Genomic DNA, 20,773 nt, shown 5'->3' with positions numbered 1-20,773 from the left:
CAGGTCAACACGATGAAAAACCAAAACACGGCTCAGGAGGAACACAGGCTCTGATACTACCGACTGGGAGGGTTTCCCCAGATGTCCTCACAGACACTTTACAACGTGGTGAGCCATGTCTGGACCAGCATCCGTGGGCAGGAGATGCCGTGGCGCTCACAGCAGAAAGACCCTCAATGTAAGGTGGGTAAGAACTATGGCAAATGCTGACATTTACTGAGTAGCTGGATTGTGCAAGCACGTTCGTACGCACTTTGGACACGTGCGCTATACTATGAACCAGCTCCTGTTTTTAGTCCCATTTTACAGATGAGGAAACTGAGGCAGAGAGAAGTTAGTCATCTGCTCAAAGCTCCATCCTGAGGAAACAGCAGAGCGGGGCCTCCAAGCAGAGCAGTCAGCCCTTAGAGCCCACTGTGACAGCACACAAACGCACAGTGAGAGGAAAGCTCATTTTTTGAAAGGGTCCATGTGCTGTGATCCAGGTGGTCCCTTCTAAATGGGGGGACTGGGCAGCCCTCAGGATCCCTCTGGTAATGCATTTTCTTCCCACCAGTTTTGTTGGTTTTGGTTTGAGACAGGGTCTTGCTCTGTCACCCAGGCTGGAGTGCAGTGGTGCAGTTATGGCTCACTGCAGCCTGGACCTCCTGGGCTCAAGCGATCCTCCTGCCTCAGCTTCCCAAGTAGCTCGGACTACAGGTGCAGCCATCATGCCTGACAAATTTTTGTGTTTTTTGTAGAGATGAGGTCTTGCTGTGTTGCCCAGGCTGGTCTCGAACTCACGGGCTCAAGCAATCCGCCAGCCTTGGTCTCTCAAAGTGCTGGGATTACAGAAATGAGCCACTATGCCTGGCCTCTTCCTACTCGTTTTGATGGCTACTGAGTGGCAGCGAGTTTGGTCATGCTGCCTGCACACAGCGGTCAAGCTGGACTGGCATCCTCCAGTGATGACACATGCAGAGACAGAAGCAGCCTTCCCAGGCTCCTGTGGAGATCACCCCAACACTTCTACTGCTCAGAATAAAAGACTATTGGGAATACTTCCGTTAAGTTCATGAGGGTGGGAAGATGACTCACCTGCCCTGTGTAAAGGCCACTTGTTTTACTGGCTGGGAATAAAAACATGTTAATAAATTCAATCAGAATGCTGGGAGCAACTCTGGAGGTTTCTGCTGAAAAAACCAGCCACTTGTAGAAAATCATAAATATAAGGTATCCAAAGATACAGAGCATGAAGAGAAGTTCCGGGATGGAAACCAGGTAAATGTTGAACTTCTTCCTGAAGTGCCTAGGAAAGAAAAGGAATCAATCAACCCACGAACAAGATCAGCCTAAGTTAAAAAGAGTAAATTAAACTCTCTGCAACTAAACTATAAAGCGAATTTCAGAATAACATCATTTCTCATATGATGAATCCAGATACATCTGAGTGTCCAGATACATCTACGAGGAAGAGACGTGAGGTCGGCCAAAACTACTACAGTTTTTGCGGTCAAATCTCACTCAAACTTTCTTCCTTAGTTCCCTTATTCAGAAACATTTCCTTCCTTAAAGTAAGGCTACACAATATTAGTGAATCTGGCTCCAAAATGCTGTGTCTTACATTGTTACAAGTTTTTCAAGACTCCTGTTATAGTGACTTCAAGCTACAGCATCAAATTATACAAATTATGTTTAGAGATCAGAATGAACAGGTCTAGTTAGAGAAAAATGACACCATCTCTTACTCTTCATATACTAGCTCTAATAAAGTAAAAACAAAAAGATTTTTTATTTGTAAAATAAAAAAGGAATATGGCAAGCACCCCTTCTGGAAATCGACATGAATGCACATGTCACATGTCTCCCTCACTTGAATGGAAGCTCCACTGGGGCAACAACTTTTTTCTGCCCTCCTCACTGCTGAACTCCTAGTGCCTAGAACAGCACTTGGCACTACTATGCGCTCGATAAATACATATTTGCTGAATGAATTGCTGAAACCACAGAAAATCTAAATAACTTCAACAGAATCATGTAAATACAACATCATATTGGCTGCCCCTTACCCAATAAATACAGTCACCAACAAGAAGCAAAATTGAAGAAATGCCAAGTTTGGTTTATAAATATTGCTTAAAAAAAAATCTGTACTTACAAGTGGTTAAATATTCCCAGAATGACTCCAAAAGTCATATGAATGATTCCTAAAATCACGGACATTTTCATTTTGAAAGAGTTTAGAAAAGTGAGGCGATTTGTGGCCAAGTTCCAAATCTAAAACCAAACCAAACAAGACAAAACAGAATCTTTAACTTCCTTCAACAGGTGACACTCAAGAAAGTTCCTGTCTTAACTTGAAAGGTGGCTCTAAGTTTAAGAAGGAAACAATATTCAGGCTTTTCTTTTGATGCTTTCAATCTGAGAACCATTGATTTCCTTAAACCAGGGCCACAGACAATTACAAAACAATTTTATCGGTGTTAACGTCAAAGGGTGCCAGATGGAACCACATAGCGTTTAGGGAGATGTGCCTAGGAAGTCTTGACAAAAGGCAAGGCAAGGGAGAGTCACACACAGCTCAGAGACTGGAAGGGTCAGGATGCTCTCAAGGTCCTGGGTTATGTCCCCTCTACCTGGGCAGGAGACATACATGTGTTATCACACATTTACATACATGTGCCATACATGCTCCTGTATGTCTATTTTGTCATAAAGTTTAGCTGTGAATACAATGAAATCAGAAATGGTGCAAGTGGCCAACCCAAGATGTGCCAAGAGGGACTCCAGACCATGGCTGACCTCCCCACGGTGCCCCGGCCAGTCTGAGTCCCCGTAACTTCCCCACTCATTGACTGCTTCTCTTACTGTCTGAAAATTAATTCCTACAGCCTGCCCTTCAGGTGGGTTAGGAAAAGGGAAACAGGGTCTATTAAGATAATTTTTTTTTTTTTGAGGAGTCTCGCTCTGTCAACCAGGCTGGAGTGCAGTGGCGCAATCTTGGTTCACTGCAACCTCCACCTCCTGGGTTCAAGCGATTCTCCTGCCTCAGCCTCCTGAGTAGCTGGACCAGCATGCCTGGCTGATTTTTGTATTTTTAGTAGAGAAAGGGTTTCGCCATGTTGGCCAAACTGGTCTCAAACTCCTGACCTCAGGTGATCCGCCTGCCTCGGCCTCCCAAAGTGCTGAGATTATAGGTGTGAGCCACCGCGCCCAACCTTTTTTTTTTTTTTTTTTTTTTTTTAAGGTAAGGGGTCTCACTGCTGCCCAGGGGCTAGAGTACAGTGGAGCAATCAGGGCTCACTGCAGCCTTGACCTGGCTCAAGCAATCTTCCCACCTCAGCCTTCCGAGAAGCTGGGACCACAGGCACGCACCACCACTCCCAGCTAATTTTAAAATTTCTAGCCTCCCAGTTCCTAGCCCTGAACTATCTCATTTTGCCCTTGCAAAAATAAGATTTTAGAATGAGGTATTCAGGGCTGAGAAGTTGGAGGCCAGTCAACTTCGCTGATATATTTATATTATACATACTTTTATATATTATTTTAAAATACGTATTTTATATGTATAACGTACACACATTGGTTTACTTTTGAACCAAATTAATGTAATGCCTAGTTTAAAATTAAGTTAAAACAGAAAGAAGACAAAACCATACCCCAATTTTCCCCTATGCCTCCCAAAAAAAAAACTCACTCAAACTTTCTTCCTTGGTTCCCTTATTCAGAAATATTTCTTTCCTTAACACAAAGCTACAAGTTATTACTGAATTTGGCTCCAAAATGCTGTATCTTAAAGAAATTGTTGTAGCCGTGTTTCCAAGTTTTCAATTACATTAAGACTTAATGCTACAACATGAAATTATACCAATCATGATTAGAGATAAGAATAAACAGAACACACTAAGAGATACTTCCTCCTTGGAGAGCCCAGGTTAAGGAATGCTAGACTTTTTTTGCTCAGTTTAACGACTGTACACAATTACATCCACAAACCAACTTTGAGATTGTTTCTCAGTCATTCTTTTGATTCTCCAGAAAGACTCCTGACAGCTCAGGAAAACCCCACCCAACCCTGCAGTCCACTGCCTCAGCCACCGCCTGCTGAGCCCTCGAAGGGGTTGGGGGTCCTGGCACCCTGGGGCTACTTCTCCATTTTCTTTTTTTTTTTTTTTTGAGACAGAGTCTCTCGCTCCGTTGCCCAGGCTGGAGTGCAATGGCACCATCTCGGCTCACTGCAAGCTTCGCCTCCTGGGTTCACGCCATTCTCCTGCCTCAGCCTCCTGAGTAGCTGGGACTACAGGCGCCAGCCACCACACCCAGCTAATTTTTTGTATTTTTAGTAGAGATGGGGTTTCACCGTGTTAGCCAGGATGGTCTCAATCTCCTGACCTCATGATCTGCCCGCCTCGGCCTCCCAAAGTGCTGGAATTACAGGCGTGAGTACTTCCCCATTTTCTTTCTATTAACACTTTTCCCATTCCAAACAACTACCCCAATAAGCACCATAATAACCTCACGCTTCCTTTCAGCTCTAACACTCCATACCATTTCTTTCGAGATCAAGGGTTTTTAAAAGTTCACATATACGAGGAAGAAATGTAGGAAATGGCACACATTTCAGGGCTACTGAAGTGCCATTTTCAGCCAGAGGAAAATAGGTAGGACACATGACAGAACACAGCCCTGGCTCTCTGAGGACTTCCTCTGACCTCACCTTCCCAAACGGAGGGCCCCCCAGCTCCTGGCCTCCCCTCCCAGTGTCCGGGACTGGGATGCACAGGGGCTAATGAGCACCTCCCGCTCAGGGCAGCGTGAACCCTGCTCAACAGTCTAGAGAAACTCGTGGCGCCCGAAGCTAGGTGGCACCACAGAGCATCCAGAGACAACGACAGAGCGTGGTGCACTCACAGGATCAATGCCAAGGGGATAAGGGCCTCGGAACACTCCAGGAATGCTTGGATCCAGCTGCAAAATGCTGTTGTGTCTAACGACGCTGTCACTGTAACAAAAAGCAGAGTGAGGAGGCTGACCTGGGAGGAGGAAGGTCTAGGAAACATGCTTTCCACCCAGAGCATCACCAGCTATGGGACACTTACTTCCAAAGCACCATCTTCTTATGCTCTGCGGGTGGGTGGCTGGAGCTGTACATGGCCGACACGTTCCACCCAGAGCCGAACAGGTTGACTGACTTTGAAAAGCAGTCGTTGTAGATGAGGCCAGTGTACACTGAGAACAGCCCCATCAGCAGGAGGATGTACCGGCCATTAAAAAACATCCTCATGATCTGTGAAGGGCAAGGCGGGGGCAGAATATGGTTACTGGAGGGTGTCCATGTGACAGCTGTCGGTGTGGGCACGACCCTCACCACTCACTTCTCAGAAAACAGCCTCGCCCCGCAGACATCCCTGTCAGCCGCAGCTGACAGGCCACACACCTGCCCAGCACAGCCGCAGCCTACAGCAAACATCTAAGAGGTGTCTCTCTTTCGGTCACTGCTAATGCCACCTAACCAGATATATGAGCTGGAGTGTTTATATTTTTACCTCTTGTGACTGATTTAGTCTGGGATGATTTTCATTTAACACCAACAAGAGGGCAAATAAAAACATCACAAAGCCATGTCCGAAGTCTCCAAACATCACAGCAAATAAAAACGGGAAGGTGATGATGGTAAAGAGAGCTGCAGAAAAAAGGGAAAGAGATTTCTGATTCACAGCAAATATGGAAAACCTGAGTTCATTCAAACACAATGATACATAACAATCTTGACTTTCTCCAGAATTCACAAGATAGGATTGTGTGGTTACATTTAAAACCTTATACTTTTAAATAAGATAGCAAAAAAGTAATGGTCAGCCTCTCTTTCCAAATATCTATTCCATTCTTAGAGCAAGAATGCAACAATGCCATTGGAAATACGGGTATTTACAAATCAGACTTCCAACCTGGATTGACTTCTCTGTAGCTTCCGACTCCATAAGCATCCACGATGTTCTGAAATCCCTCGGTGAATTTGTTGGTGCGGATCCGAGTGGGGGGTGTTTCTTTTGTGGGGATTATATTCATGAATGAGGGGATTGTAGCACCACTCTCTCTCTTCCACATAAACAAGGAAAGATAAAAAATTACTATCCAAGAAGAAAATAACTATCCATATTCAACGAATCTGGGTTACTGCTTTGTTTTTTGGTTTTTTTTGGTGGTGTTGTTTTGTTTTGTTTTTTTTTGAGACGGAGTTTCACTCTTGTTGCCCAGGCTGGAGTGCAATGGTGTGATCTCGGCTCACCGCAACCTCTGCCTCCCAGGCTCAAGCGATTCCCCTGCCTCAGCCTCCCTAGTAGCTGGGATTACAGGCATATGCAACCATGCCCGTCTAATTTTGTATTTTTAGTAGAGACGGGGTTTCTCCATGTAGGTCAGGCTGGTCTCGAACTCCCGACCTCAGGTGATCCACCTGTCTCAGCCTCCCAATGTGCTGGGATTACAGGTGTGAGCACCGTGCCCAGCCTTGTGTTACTGCTTTGGCAACGCTGTGTGTGTGGCTTTGGTGCAGGATTAATCTCCACTCAACAGGGTCAAGAGCAGCCAGAGGGCCTGGAGGAAAAGTCCATCTGTGAGGAATCAGGGGGTGGCAAGGGCGGCACTTGGGGCCTGTGGCCTCCAAGAAGGAAGGGTGAGAGCAGGACTGAATGCGCCGGAAGTGAATGGGGGCTGGGGAATGCGGGGCACGTGGGTATGGAGTCGGCTCAGTCACTGACAGAAAACCGACACTGAGTACTTTATCTCTTAAAAACGGTGAAGAAAGAGGAAGTTTGAGACAACTGCAATATACTTAATAAAAAAATGAGAAAGGCAAGAATAAACCAAAATGTCAACATGAATTCTATTATGGCAGAATCATAAATATAACTTTATCCATCAGTGTTTGCAATTCTTCTGAAATGCATTATATTGATTTATAATGAAAACACTTTTAAAATAAGGTAAACAGGTTATTGACAGAATAGTAGATTTTCTGGTCAAAATAAGTCTTTTTTTTTTTTTAAAGAAGGAGTCTCGCTCTGTCACCCAGGCTGGAGTGCAGTGGTGTGATCTCGGCTCACTGCAACCTCTGCCTTCCAGGTTCAAGCGATTCTCGTGCCTCAGCCTCCCAAGTAGTTGGGATTACATTGCACACCACCACGCCTGGTTAGTTTTTGTATTTTTAGTAGAGACGGAGTTTCACCATGTTAGCCAGGCTGGTCTCGAACTCCTAACCTCAGGTGATCTGCCCACCTCGGCCTCCCAAAGTGCTGGGATTATAGGAGTGAGCCACTGCACCCGGCCAAAATGTGTCTCTTAAAACGTATGCATGTAATGGGGTTCTGGGGAAATTCTCGAGGGTGGCACAGCTTTGAACGTCCCCAAGTCCCCTTCAGAACAGAAAGTGCAACCAGCTAGCAAGACCTAAAGCCTACGGATGGCATTTACAGCCAAACCACGTCCCCACAGTCCCCAAAATACAAATGGGTGAGGAAACCACCAACAGCTACAAGACCTACCCAGCAGCCTCCAGAGCAGAGGATGCAAGTAAGCAATGTGGCCTCCAAGGGGCCTGGGCCAACAACACCAAAAATGGCCAGAAAGAACCTCCCTGGGAAAGCAGAGGAGGCCAAACCACAAAAAGCAGCTGGAACTGGGAAGAGTTCTGTCCAGTCCAAGAGTAGGCGACGGCACAGGGGCCATGGGCAGTGAAGTCTGCAGGGGTTGGGGCAGGGCAGCCCAGTCCCTAAACTCACGGCACTGACCTGCCAGGTCCTCCCCTGTTGAGCGGCCACACGCTGAGGAGAAACTGCTGGGAGTGAGATCAAAACTGAGCAGGACAGGAACGAAAGAGAAAAGACAGAGGAGTTCACAAGAGAGACACAGAGGACATCTCAGATCCAGGACCCGACGTGTTTGCATTCAGTACACAAAAAATAAAAAAAAGAAAAAACCATCAGTGAGGTTAGGATCGCTATCCTGAACCTGCCATCTTCTAAAAGTTCCTTGAGTACCATAAACATCTGCCAGAAAACTATTTTCATGTAAATATACATTTATATTGCTTGTGTAATAATATAGAATCTCCTTGAGCAGGACAGGCATGGTGGCTCATGCTTGTCATCCCAGCACTTTGGGAGGCTGAGACAGGAGGGTCACTTAAGCCCAGGAGTTCAAGACCAGACACCGTCTTTTGTAGAGACCCCATCTCTACAAAAAAATATAAATAACTAACTAAATAAATAAATAAATTAGCCAGGCATAGTAGTGCATGCCTGTAGTTCCAGCTACTCAGGAGGCTGAGACGAGACGGGAGGATTGCTTGAACCCAGGAGTTTGAGATTGCAGTGAGCTACGACCATTACCACTGTTCTCCAGCCTGGGAAACAGAGTGAGACCTTGTCTAAAAAATGAATTTCCTTGAGCAGCTAAGCATCTTCACCATGTTCCATAAATCTTTTTTTTTTTAAACCTCCGCCTCTGGGGTTCAAGGGAGTCCCGTGACTCAGCCTTCCAAGTAACTGGGATAACAGGCACGTGCCACCATGCCTGGCTAATTTTTTTTCTATTGTGTATTTTTTGTATTTTTTAGTAGAGACAGGGTCTCGCCATGTTGGCCAGGCTAGTCTCAAACTCCTGGACTCAAGTGATCCGCCCGCCTCAGCCTCCAGAGTGCTGGGATTACCAGCGTGAGTTACCGCATCCAGCCTCAAAAGTCTAATTTCATTTAAAAGTGAGCAAGAGGAGGGAGAAGCCCAATCTTACATAAGGTCATAAGAAGAAAAAAGCCAAGGAGTAGAATACCATCCCCACAGACAGTGAGAAGATGCCAGAAAGAATGTCCACAAAACAAATAAAACCATTGTAACTTACTGTTTCAAAAGGAGTTAAAAGAATTAAAAAAAAAATACAGGACAGGAAAAAGCACCAGGAATCAGATTTTAAAAGACTCAGAAATGAGGTAACAGAACTCAAGAAGGAATTAGGAAAAAAAGAAAGAAATTATTTCAGAAGTAAGACAAAACTAGAAGGAACACAAAAGTGAAGAACCCTTCCTCATACTGCCGTAAGAGAAACAGAAGGCGCGAAGAGGAGAAATCTTACAAATCAAAAAGAAGTAACGAAAGACAAAAAGGATTCAAAGGAAAGTGACAGATACTGAAGATAAGCAAAGAAGGTTCCACTGAAAGATGACAGGAGGTCCTAAAAGAAGAAAACCAAAGCAAGACAGTAGAGCAAATACCAAAAACTATAATTCAGGAGAACGTTTATGAAATTAACAAAACCACCACCAAAGACTATATATTGAAAGAACATACAGAAAGACCACGTTAAGAGACACATTCTGGGCCAGGCGCGATGGCTCACGCCTGTAATCCCAGCATTTTGGGAGGTAAAGGCAGGTGGATCACTTGAGGTCAGGAGTTCCAGACCAGCCTGGCCAACATTATGAAACCCCATCGCTACTAAAAATACACACACAAAAATTAGCCAGGCATGGTAGTGCAGACCTCTAGTCCCAGCTACTTGGGAGGCTGAGGCATGAGAATCACTTGAACCTGGGAGGCAGAGGTTGCACAGTGAGCCAGTATCATGCCACTGTACTCCAGCGTGGGCGAAAGAGCCAGACTCTATCTCCAAAAAAAAAAAAAAAGAGAGAGAGAGAGACATTCTGTAAAATCACTGTTTGTTTGTTTGTTTGTTTGTTTGTTTTTGAGACAAGGTCTGGCTCTGTTGCTCAGGCTGGAGTGCAATGCAGCCTCAACCTCCCAGGCTCAAGCGATCCTCCCACCCCGGCCTCCAGAGTAGCTGAGATTACAGGTGCATCACCACATCCGGCTGACTTTTGAGTTTTTTGTAGAGATGCGGTTTAACCATGTTGCCCAGGCTGAAAATCACTGGTCTTTAAAGAAAAAGAAAAGATATTTTTCTAGACAAAACAAAACAAAAAACTAAACTAAAAAACCACATGAATTACAAGGAAAAGAAAATTAGATTAACATCAGGCTTTCTGTTGGGAGCAAGGTGCCAGAACAAGATGGAGGAACATGTGTAAGATACTCAAGGGGGAAAAAAATGAGCCCAGAATTTTATTTCCAGAAAAACTCACTCCTAATTATAAAAAGCAGCAGACAGCCACTGTGATCAACATGAGAATTCAGAGAATATGATTCTTGCAAGCCTCTCTGAGGCTTCTCTAGGGAATGAGCTTCAGGCAGCCAAGTGACTAGAGAGCTTCAGGCAGCCAAGTGAACCCAAGAACTGGGATCTGCAGGCTGGAGGCTGAGATTCCCCGCTTCCGCCTGGCACAGCCTGTTAGGAGTTCTGCATGTGAGACCCCTGTGTACCTGATCAAATTCAATCTTGGCGACAGAAAAAAAAGGCATCCTGTAGACACAAGCTGACTACCAAGGCAACTGTGAAGAGCCAGATTCATGAGGTGTGGGAATGCAGGTGATGAGCCAGCTTTCATCAACACTGGAGAACGTCTCAGTCACCTACTTATGGAGAAAAATAACACAGGACAGGACAGATGAGGAAAGCGAAGAGACAGGGACTATAAGCAGTAAGAGGTGGGCTGAGAGCTCAGTACCCTTGACGGGAAACGAAGAGTCGGTGCCCACGAGCGGAGCAAAGAACAGCTATGCAGCCGGAGGTGGACATGTGGTCACTGAGACCTTAATACGCAGCTCTCAAGAGACCCCAGTGCATGTGCACGCAGGAGATGGCAGAAGCAGCACCATGGGCTCGATCTGAATCGAATGCAGCCACCTTGAAAGTCACAAAGCAGCACACACACCACCTATAACAGGAGTACTAGTCATGTCCCTCAAACTGATGTCACCTCAGTAAAAGAAGAATCATCTGTGTTTATCTCTCAAATAGGTGGTTCCTACTCTAAATAACAAAATACTATTTATGTGTTGCTGTCTTTCTCAGCACTGGGTATTTCATGTTTATGTCATAATGGACATTATATTTTACATTTGTATCATCACAGAATTATGTAATGAGACAAGGTTACATAACCAAAAAACTCATGAAAAAGGTGTTCCCTTAACTGTCACTTGAAATATGTAAACCTGTTCTTTCCATGACCAAAATCTGAGTTTAATGTAGAAGAAAAACCTCACAGGAACATGGAAGAATTACACTATAACCTTGCAGTGGGAAAAGCCTGTGATTCAAAATCTGGAAGGTGTAAGAGCAAAGATGGATAAGTTCAACTATATTTAACAAAAAACTTCTGCATGGCCAAAACAAACAAACAAATAAACAAACAGAAACATCCTAAGTCAAAAGACGAGGGACAAACTGGGGAAAATATTCTTACTGGTGTCACAGACCAGGAGCCAACAGAAATTGGTAAGAAAAAGGCCAACATACGATGGAAAATGGCTGCAGAATATGAACAGATAGTTCACAAAAAAAAGAAAATTGAAAACGCTCTTTTTTTTTTTTTTGAGACAAAGTTTTGCTCTTGTTGCCCAGGCTGCAGTGCAATGGCGCCATCTTGGCTCACCACAACCTCCGCCTCAAGCAATTCTCCTGCCTCAGCCTCCCAAGTAGCTGGGATTACAGGCATGTGCCACCCCGCCCAGCTAATTTTGTATTTTTAGTAGAAATGGGGTTTCACCATGTTGGTCAGGCTGGTCTCAAACTCCTGACCTCGTGATCCACCCGCCTCGGCCTCCCAAAGTGCTGGGGTTACAGGCGTGAGCCACCGTGCCCAGCCAAAAGGCTCTTAAACAAAAAAAAGGTATTCCCCTTCACTCACAATGAGAGAAATACAATAGCTGACAACATCTATCAAAATCAGTCCAGTAATTCCATTTCTGGGAATTTACCCTACAAATAGATTTGACATCATAGTGCTATTTGTAAAAGCGGAAACTACCTAAATGACCAGAAAACTAGTTAAATAAACCATGGTATGCACACAACAGAATATTAAATAGTTATAAGAAAAATAGAGAAGTTTTATTAAGTGAAAAGAATAGTATGAATAGTGCCATTTTGTGAAGAAAAAGAAAGAAAAATAATATCTACTCCTATCTGCTTATCTACAGTTAAGAAACTCAAAGAAATAACAGAACTGAAGTAATGGTTATCTTTGAGTGGAGGAAGTGGACAAGTAAGGCTATGGGGTGGGAGGAAGCCACTGCACTGTGTCTTTCATACTCTTTTATTTCTTTTCACTTTTACACCATGTGAATGAATTACTCAAAAGAGCAATTTAAAAACACATGTACTCACATACAGCTTTGAATGACCAGCTCACCATAATTTCAGTTCAAAAACAGAGCCAAGGCTGGGCACAGTGGCTCACACCTGTAATCCCAGCACTTTGGGAGGCTGAGGCAGGAGGATCGCTCGGGGCCAGGAGTTTGAGACCAGCCTGGGCAACACAGCAAAACCCCATCTCTATTTTAATTTTGTTAATTAATATTTTAAAAAAACAAAAGAAGAGTCAACACACTGCATTCTCATTACTCTATGAAATTCTCACTTCCTTTTTTTCTCTGAATTTATCAGTTCCATCAGTCTCTCTTCTGTTCCTGGCAGAGGAGAGGAAGGCAGCCTTACCGAGCCCTCCTCCAGTGCCCGGCGCAGGTCCTGCAGATCCGCCTCGGGACACCAGACCTCAGCAATGAGGCACTTGTTGGTCACGTCAAAGCTGCACATGTTCAGCATGTGATAGATGGCCTTCATTTTCTTCACCTGGATCACACGGCTGTAGACAGACTCGGCGGCTTTACATAGCACTTGCCTCAAATAGTCCTCGGTTTTGTGCAGTACCTGGGGAAGAACAACAGGGGCTTTCAGTGGAGTGGGCATGTTTTTGTTTCTGTCCACCTGGCACCCGACTTCCCTTAGAGGACTTTCTCCCCATTGACAGAGGATCATTCCAGGCACCTGCCTATCCTGGTGGCAGCTAAGGGAGCCATTCCTTCCTTCTCCCTGCCCCTAGTACCACTCGGAGGTGGGCAGAAAAATCTAAGCCCAATCAATCAGATGCCCTCTTTTGGGAGGTTGCCTCTGGAGAACATGACCCTAGGGCACAGGAAATGGTTAGACGTCATTGTCACTGCGGCAGCGTGATGGCCTACCAGGATCCAGCAAGCTCCCTGGGTTCCTACCCATTCCCAAGCTTGGCCTCACCCCTGTCAACCCTGTGAGCCACCAACGCCCATCCCATCCTACCAAGAAATCCTCTCGCTTAACTGAGTCAGAAGGACACTTCATGCCAACAAGAACCCTCACTGTCATCAAGAGAAAAATGAATTTAAATCCTACTGGTAAAATAATGCCCTCACCATGTTAACTGGAGCTGGCTTGTCTTTTGTGATCAAGAATTACAATCCAGACCGGGGGCGGTAGCTCACACCTGTAATCCCAGCACTCTGGGAGGCCGAGGCGGGTGGATCACGAGGTCAGGAGATCGAGACCAACCTGGCCAACATGGTGAAACCCCGTCTCTACTAAAAATACAAAAAAATTAGCAGGGTGTGGTGGCGCATGCCTATAATCCCAGCTACTTGGGAGGCTGAGGCAGGAGAATTGCTTGAACCTGGGAAGCAGAGATTGCAGTGAGCTGAGATGATCGCACCACTGCACTCCAGCCTGGCAACAGAGCATGATTCCACCTCAAAAAAAAAAAAAAAAAAAAAAGAATCACAATCCAGGCTGAGCATGGTGGCTCACACCTGTAATCCCAGCACTTTAGGAGGCTGAGGTGGGCGGATCATTTGAGGTCAGGAATTTTAGACCAGCCTGGGCAACATGGCGAAACTCTGTCTCTACTAAAAATACAAAAATTGGCCGGGCATGGTGGTGCGTGACTGTAATTCCGGCTACTTGGGAGGCTGAGGCAGGAGAATCGCTTGAACCCAGGAGGCAGAGGTTGCAGTGAGCTGAGATTATGCCACTGCACTCCAAGCCTGGGCGACAGAGCGAGAGCCTGTCTGAAAAAGAAAAATGAATTACCATCCAACATATCAAAGGTGACCACAGAATCTTTTTTTAAAGCCTTGTCATTACTACTCAGGTTCCTAACAAGTTGCTAAAATAAAACTTCCATGGGGAGGAGGGAGGGAAGCAACATTCCAATCTCACTAGAACATCTTGATTTGTCTACGACCAATATTATCTATGTTAAAAAAGAGAGAAAATATACGTGTAAATGTTTGGCAGCCCTCAGATAAAGAGGCAATCCACTTCCAGCTTACTCACAGTGTAGAGATCCTGGATGCGGGTGTTCAGCCCCTCCTGGATCTCCCTCCGCTCCTCGGCTGTGTTTGGATAGGGGTACACGTGGCAGTGGTAGCTGGAAGACAAGAGTTGAACACAGTCTCACATCTGTCAGCACTAGAACTAAACACGTTCACCTCCCCGGCACATCTTCTGGCAAAACGGAATGAAAGCAGCCGTTTGGGAGACACGGGTGCAGATGCAGTCATCTGCCCTTGGTCGGGCTGTGCATACAGATGCTCAACAAGCACCTGCTGAGTGAGATAAATTTAGCAAACTCCCTCTGGGATCCAAATTCCACTCCTGCCCTCAATGATTCCTGGAAGCTCATTCCCAATTCCAGCTTCCTAAAATTCAACAATGTCCTTGGGCTGGGAATCACTGAACAGGTTTAAACACAAACACAAAGACACACACAGACACACAACAGACACACACAGACACACACACACACACACACACACGAAAACAAAAGGAGAAAAGAGCTCTGGCTTCCTAGCAGTTGCCTTTGACAGGTCCTCTCAGGGCCACTCAGCCACTCGGCACCCAGACTGCACGAGGGAATGACGAGCTGTGTCCCCAAACTGCAGCCATTCCCGGACCACCTTCATATGTTAACACCATACCTTTATTTTTCTTTAAGTTCTGCCTTTGAAAAATTAAATACCTATTCTAGCCTTATCCTAAGCAACAATATCTGTGAAATCATGGGTTTGCTGAGCTGGGTATAGTTTTTTAATCTGCAGTAAAACAAATATCTATCTATGAAAATAAAAGGTTTATCCAGGTGACACCTGAAATTACTTTCTATTCCACCAATTGAGAACCAAATTCTAGTAAACAGAAAATGCCCAAACCCCCCTCCACCCTGCAAGAAACAAGGCAAGCTGAGTTGTCCATGGGGGGAAGAAAGCAAAGGAGTTTTCTGACTTTGTTTGGCTTTTGCTTATGTTCCCATTTGCTGACAGGAGTTAAGTCACAGATTATTGTTGTACCACAACTCAAAATTACTGATGGCTTATGCCGAACTGATGTCTTTTACCTGATCATTTCATTTAGTCCTAAAAGACCTATAAGAAAGCAATCACTCTCCCCTTTTACAGATGAAGAAACTGAGGCTTGGTCACTTGTCCAAGTGAGTCCAGTGAGACAGCGACACAGGGAGGCTCTGCATCCAGACAGGCCCCTGAGCGCCTCCTCCTCACCACACGCCACACCCCTGCCCCAGGGTACCCAGGACAGAAGAGATGCACATGCTCAGTGATGACAGGTAAGCCCGACTGGTAGCTCAAAGCAACATGAAGTCACAACATATAAAAACTTTATTCCTTTTTCAACCAATCTGAAGCCCTGATCTCCAAGGAAAAAAGTCAATTCTGGGAATATTATTAACACAGTCTCTACTTTTAAATTATTTTAAGTAATGCATTGGTAAGAGAGATGACAAATTAAATGTTTAAGAACTTGGCAGTGCAGCAAAGAATCATATAACAAAAACTAGCAGCCACTCTATTTCTGACTCCAGAGGGATGTTGAAGGAAAACTAGAGGTGACTGAATATAAAGACATAAATGAAATGAAATGTTTCTTTTTCTTACCAATCACATATCTTCTTAACCTTGTGGCCAATCTGCTCTCCCCAAAAGGATATTAAAAAGACATACCATTTTATGACTTCCCCCTACAAAGAATGAATAAGGATAAGTGTTATTTCTGCGTGTATAAACTTCTAGAACTTCGGCAGCTCAAACACTGTCAAAGCGTTCATTCATTCACTCATTCAATACAGTCAATACTCCTTATTTGAGGATTCTGTAATTACGAATTCACCTACTTGTAGTAACAGCCCCAAACCAATCCACGGAGCGCTTCCAGTCATGTGCAGAGCAGCCAAAACTTTTAGGCACCCGACACCCGCGTTCCCAGGTAAAGTCCAACAAGGTGACGCTCTCCCTTCCCATCTCTGCTCTCAGACTATCACCAAGTGTCCTTTTCAGAGTCTGTTTGGTATCATGTTTTTCACACTTCTGTGCTTTTTTTGGTGATTTCACGGTATAAACAGCCCCGAGTGTAGGGCTGAGGTGCAGTCTGGTGTCCTGAGCACAAGACAGCTGTGATGTCCCTGACAGAGATGTGGCGTGTGTTAGGGACACTTCGTTCGGGCTCGAGTCACAGAGCTGCTGGCTGGGAGCTCAATGTAAATGACTCAACTCCCGTACTTCCCCTAGGAGCAGTGAGTTTTTCCACAGTTGGTAATTCAGAGATTTCAGTGACTTTTTTTTTTTTTTTTTTTGAGACAGAGTCTCTCTCTTGGTGCCCAGGCCGGAATGCAATGGCACAATCTCGGCCCACCGCAACCTCCACCTCCTGGGTTCAAGCAATTCTCATGCCTCCGCCTCCCGAGTAGTTGGGATTACAGGCATGCACCACCACACTCAGCTAATTTTGTATTTTTAGTAGAGACGGGGGTTTCTCCTTGTTGGTCAGGCTGGTCTCGATCTCCTGACCTCAGGTGATCCACCTGCCTCGGCCTCCGAAAATGCTGAGATTACAGGCATGAGCCACCGTGCTCAGCCCTCAGTGACTTTATGAAGCATAACTACTGTAAATAATAAGAATCACCCTGTATTTACAAGTATCCAACAAAACAGAATTCTATAAAAACTGAATAGGCACTATTATAGGTGCTAGGGATACAGCAGTGAAGAAAACTGACAAAAATCCCTGACCTGGGAGGGGAAGGGAACTTAAACTTATATTCAACTTGACAGCAAAAGAAACAAAGAAAGTACGCCAGGTAGAGGTAAGTGCTATAAAGAACAGACGCAGGATGAGGAGACGGGAGGGAGGGAGGGTGGGCTTGGGCACTGTGATCTCACATAGGATGGGCAAGGAAGATCTCCCCGAGAGGGTGACATCTGAGCATAAAGACGTGCAGGTGAGCTTCAAGTCAGGGTAAATGGAAAAAAAAAAATGCAGGAGGTGAGGACGCGAGCCCCATGGCCACTGGGAGAAGAGACTTCCAAGCAGAGGAGTACACACAGAAGCACAGTCAGGAGACTCGAGGAGGCCAGCACCGCCGGGGAGGGATGTAGTAACACAGCTCTGAGGAATGACGAGGGCCACAGGCCCATTGTGCGGCTCCACAGGGCTGTTGCTGAGGAAAACAGGAAGCCCCTGGAGGGTCTTGAGTACAGGAATGAAATGATCTGACTGTGGTTTCCTGTGGATCATTCTGGATGCCAGGAGAAGAGACCAGGCTAAGGCAGAGGCAGGAGCAGGGGCCCAGCCAGGCGAGGCAAGTGTGGGACGAGACCTGGACCAGGAGGGAGGAAGAGCGAGGAGAGGCGGCGGGACTCTCTATTTAGCAGACATGGCCACCAGATCTGCTGAGGGATTTAAGTGAGACGCAAGAAACAGAGAAGAGTGGGGAGAAGCCCAGGGCTTTCAGCCTGCGCAGTGAGATCAATGGGTCTGGAAGGGCAGGTCTGGGAAGAAAGATCAGATGTTCAGTTTTAGGCAAAAGCAGAAACGGTCTTCCAGATACTTAAAAGGAGATATGGAGTAGACAGACATAAAAGTCTAGTATTCTGGGGACAGGTCCAAGCTAGGGATATACACATTTGGGGCATGGTACTTAAAATCATAAAATTATGTGAGATCTCTAAAGGCAGAAAGAAGAGAGAAGCTGTCCAAAAATTGAGCCCTGGGCCCAGGGAACAGGAGCACAGACTGGGGAGCTACAGCATAGCACAGGCAGGCGGTGGTGGGAGGGAGGGGATGGCAGGAGGAGGAGAGGGAGGATGTGGCTGGGAGAATGAATACAATGAATGAATAAGTCAGTTAACTGAGCAACCCACTAGACACACTGAGGATAATGGAAGCTGACTTCACACTGTCAGAAAAGAGTTAGAACCAGGAAAAAGAGGCTGGGAATGGTAATCCCAACACTTCAGGGGGCCAAGGCAGGAGGATCGTTTGAGCCCAGGCCTGTAATCCCAACACTTTGCTGGGCAGAGGCAGGAGGATCGTTTGAGCCCAGGAGTTCAAGACCAGCCTGGGCAACATAGTAGTGTGTCAAGGAACACAACCACTTAAGGCACAAGGCAGAAGAAATGCCACACACAACAGAAAAACACAATCTATACAACCGAAGAAAGCGCCCATGTCTAGCTTTGATGCAGAGAGAATGGTCAGCACTTAGAAACACCAATGGGGGAAAATGGCTAAAAATAGTCTCTAAGGTCTGTAATAACTTCAAGAGGGTCAGACATTGAACCCAAAAGACAGTAAACCTGACACTATAAACAAATCCTAGAACCTGAGTAAAAGTTACCAGATAAAATACCCCTATCTTACCCAGAGAAAGACTGAGAGAACACACTTGGCATGTAAACAGTGGCTCAGAATAGGAGACTGCGAGGGACTTCTTTTTCTTCTTGTTTTCTACATTGTTCCCAATTTTCTATAATGGACATGCATTTTCTTTATAACCGTGGGGACAGGGATTGTATTTTCAAGATATACATCTATCCATTCTCTGTATTCCTTCACAGATGTTTACTGCCCTTTAACATATTCCATAAAAATTTGGCATAAGAGGCCAGGCATGGTGGCTCATGCCTATAATCCCAGCACTTTGAGAGACCAAGGCAGGCAATCGCTTGAGGTCAGGAGTTCAAGGCCAGCCTAGCCAACATGGTAAAATCCCGTCTCCATTAAAAATACAAAAATTAGCCAGGAGTGGTGGTGTGCACCTGTAGTCCCAGCTACTTGGGAGGCTGAGGTAGGAGAATCACTTGAACCCGGGAGGTGGAGGTTGCAGAGGCACAAGAGAACTTTCAAATTCTATTAAAAAACAATTTTAACTTGAGTAAATGCTCGCATGAGAATTACTGATATTTTCTCTTAATAAAGAAAAAACTCAAAAAATATGTAAATGCTACTTCAGAACAGTTTTGATCTTAGTTTTAATCATCAGCTTGAAATAGAAAAGTCATCAAGGTCACAACTGAAGGATAATTAACGATGGTCACTGGCAGTTACAAAAGCCACAAAAAAGTAGAAAATATTACAAGTGAGTGGTTAATGAAGGGCTTAACTGATTAGATTTCAAACGGATTAGATTTTTATTTCAGAAAACCAAAAATAAATCACAGGCTGGGCGCGGTGGCTCCTGCCTGTAATCACAGCACTTTGAGAGGCCGAGGTGGGTGGATCACCTGAGGTCAGGAGTTCAAGACCTAACTCCTGGCCGGGTGTGGTGGCTCACGCCTGTAATCCCAGCACTTTGGGAGGCCGAGGCGGGTGGATCATGAGGTCAGGAGATCGAGACCATCCTGGCTAACACAGTGAAACCCCGTCTCTACTAAAAAATACAAAAAATTAGCCGGGAGCGGTGGCGGCCTCCTGTAGTCCCAGCTACTTGAGAGGCTGAGGCAGGAGAATGGCGTGAACCCAGGAGGCGGAGCTTGCAGTGAGCCGAGATCGCGCCACTGCACTCCAGCCTGGGCGACAGAGCCAGACGCTGTCTCAAAAAAAAAAAAAAAAAAAAAAAAAAAAGACCTAACTCCTGATGGTGTTTCAATATGGTGAAACCCCATCTCTACTAAAAATAAAAAAATTCAGCAGATGTGGTGGTCCACGCCTATATAGTCCCAGCTACTCGGGAGGCTGAGACAGGAGAATTGCTTGAACCCTGGAGGCAGAGATTGCAGTAAGCTGAGATCATGCCACTGCACTCCAGCCTGGGCGACAGGGTGAGACTCCATCTAAAAAAGTAAAAATCAATCAATCAATCAATCACAGCCAAATTTCTCTTTATGCGTCAAAACTACTATGAGATGTATATTAATCTTACAGCCAAAATTCCTGAGGCCAACCTAGAAAAAAAACAACCTTTCCTCAAAATTAAGAAAACCAAGTTCCTTTTCCACCTTTAGTAGATCAGCAGTTCATCCTCATTTAAAACAACAGTTATTTTTACTTTGAAGTTTAAAAAACAGATATCCTAAGGGTGATTATGACTCTGTCTCTCCCCGCTGCCTCCACCCTCCCTTCTGAACCATTCGGCCCCACAGCTGTTAGGTATGTACATGGGGATGGATGGGGTTGGGGGAGAGTAACTGGCCCACAGCTGTAAATGTATATGTGCATGTGCTTTTGTGTGTGTCCCCAAGCTACTCTGACACAGCCAAGGAAAAGCAACCCCTCAGTAACAATGTGCACACCCAGAAGCCACATCTTGGCTTCAAAATACCAAGATTTGCACTCAAAAAAAAAAACAGCCTCCTTGAAGAAACAGTTGATTCCAGAGCCGTGTGAGAGGAATTGCAACATGCATCTGGACATCCTGTTGTACAAACAAGTGCTCAAAAAGTGATGGGAACATGTAAAATGGATATAAAAGCCAGCCTGAATGGATTCCAACTGGCCAAATCTAGGAGAATGTGAATATCAAAATAAATAATTAAAGGAACAGGAACCCATCAAATAAAATAGGAAATAAATGAGGAAG

At 45.2% G+C, this 20,773-nt stretch overlaps 1 protein-coding gene across 4 annotated transcripts in view, besides 1 other annotated feature; it reads right to left on the bottom strand.

The window, feature by feature from the left end:
• ATP6V0A2 (ATPase H+ transporting V0 subunit a2) overlaps nt 1-20,773 on the bottom strand; it is a 49,403-nt gene that overhangs the window by 11,893 nt on the left and 16,737 nt on the right. For 3 of the 4 annotated variants that reach the window (NM_012463.4, XM_024448910.2, XM_024448911.2), the window contains 9 exons: nt 15,855-15,937; nt 14,239-14,332; nt 12,592-12,804; nt 5,928-6,078; nt 5,526-5,662; nt 5,079-5,266; nt 4,891-4,981; nt 2,138-2,256; nt 1,078-1,288 (listed from right to left, as the gene is read on the bottom strand). In NM_012463.4, the coding sequence (NP_036595.2) occupies nt 1,078-1,288; nt 2,138-2,256; nt 4,891-4,981; nt 5,079-5,266; nt 5,526-5,662; nt 5,928-6,078; nt 12,592-12,804; nt 14,239-14,332; nt 15,855-15,937 (1,287 nt within the window). Of the gene's footprint in view, nt 1-1,077; nt 1,289-2,137; nt 2,257-4,890; nt 4,982-5,078; nt 5,267-5,525; nt 5,663-5,927; nt 6,079-12,591; nt 12,805-13,322; nt 13,678-14,238; nt 14,333-15,854; nt 15,938-20,773 lie in introns of those variants that run through there. The other variant, XM_024448912.2, reaches the window with a different exon arrangement.
• Nucleotides 418-1,617: an enhancer, noted in NCBI's record as "CDK7 strongly-dependent group 2 enhancer chr12:124232793-124233992 (GRCh37/hg19 assembly coordinates)". NCBI's record gives its function as "activates an origin of replication core promoter dependent on BRD2, BRD4, P300/CBP, MED14 and CDK7 cofactors, with strong dependence on CDK7, by STARR-seq in HCT116 cells {active_cell/tissue: HCT116}" and the evidence as "EXISTENCE:reporter gene assay evidence [ECO:0000049][PMID:35650434]".

The sequence above is a fragment of the Homo sapiens genome, chromosome 12 (genome assembly GCF_000001405.40).
Source record: "Homo sapiens chromosome 12, GRCh38.p14 Primary Assembly".
Lineage (NCBI taxonomy): Eukaryota > Metazoa > Chordata > Mammalia > Primates > Hominidae > Homo > Homo sapiens.
This window is presented reverse-complemented; position numbering and strand designations above follow the sequence as displayed.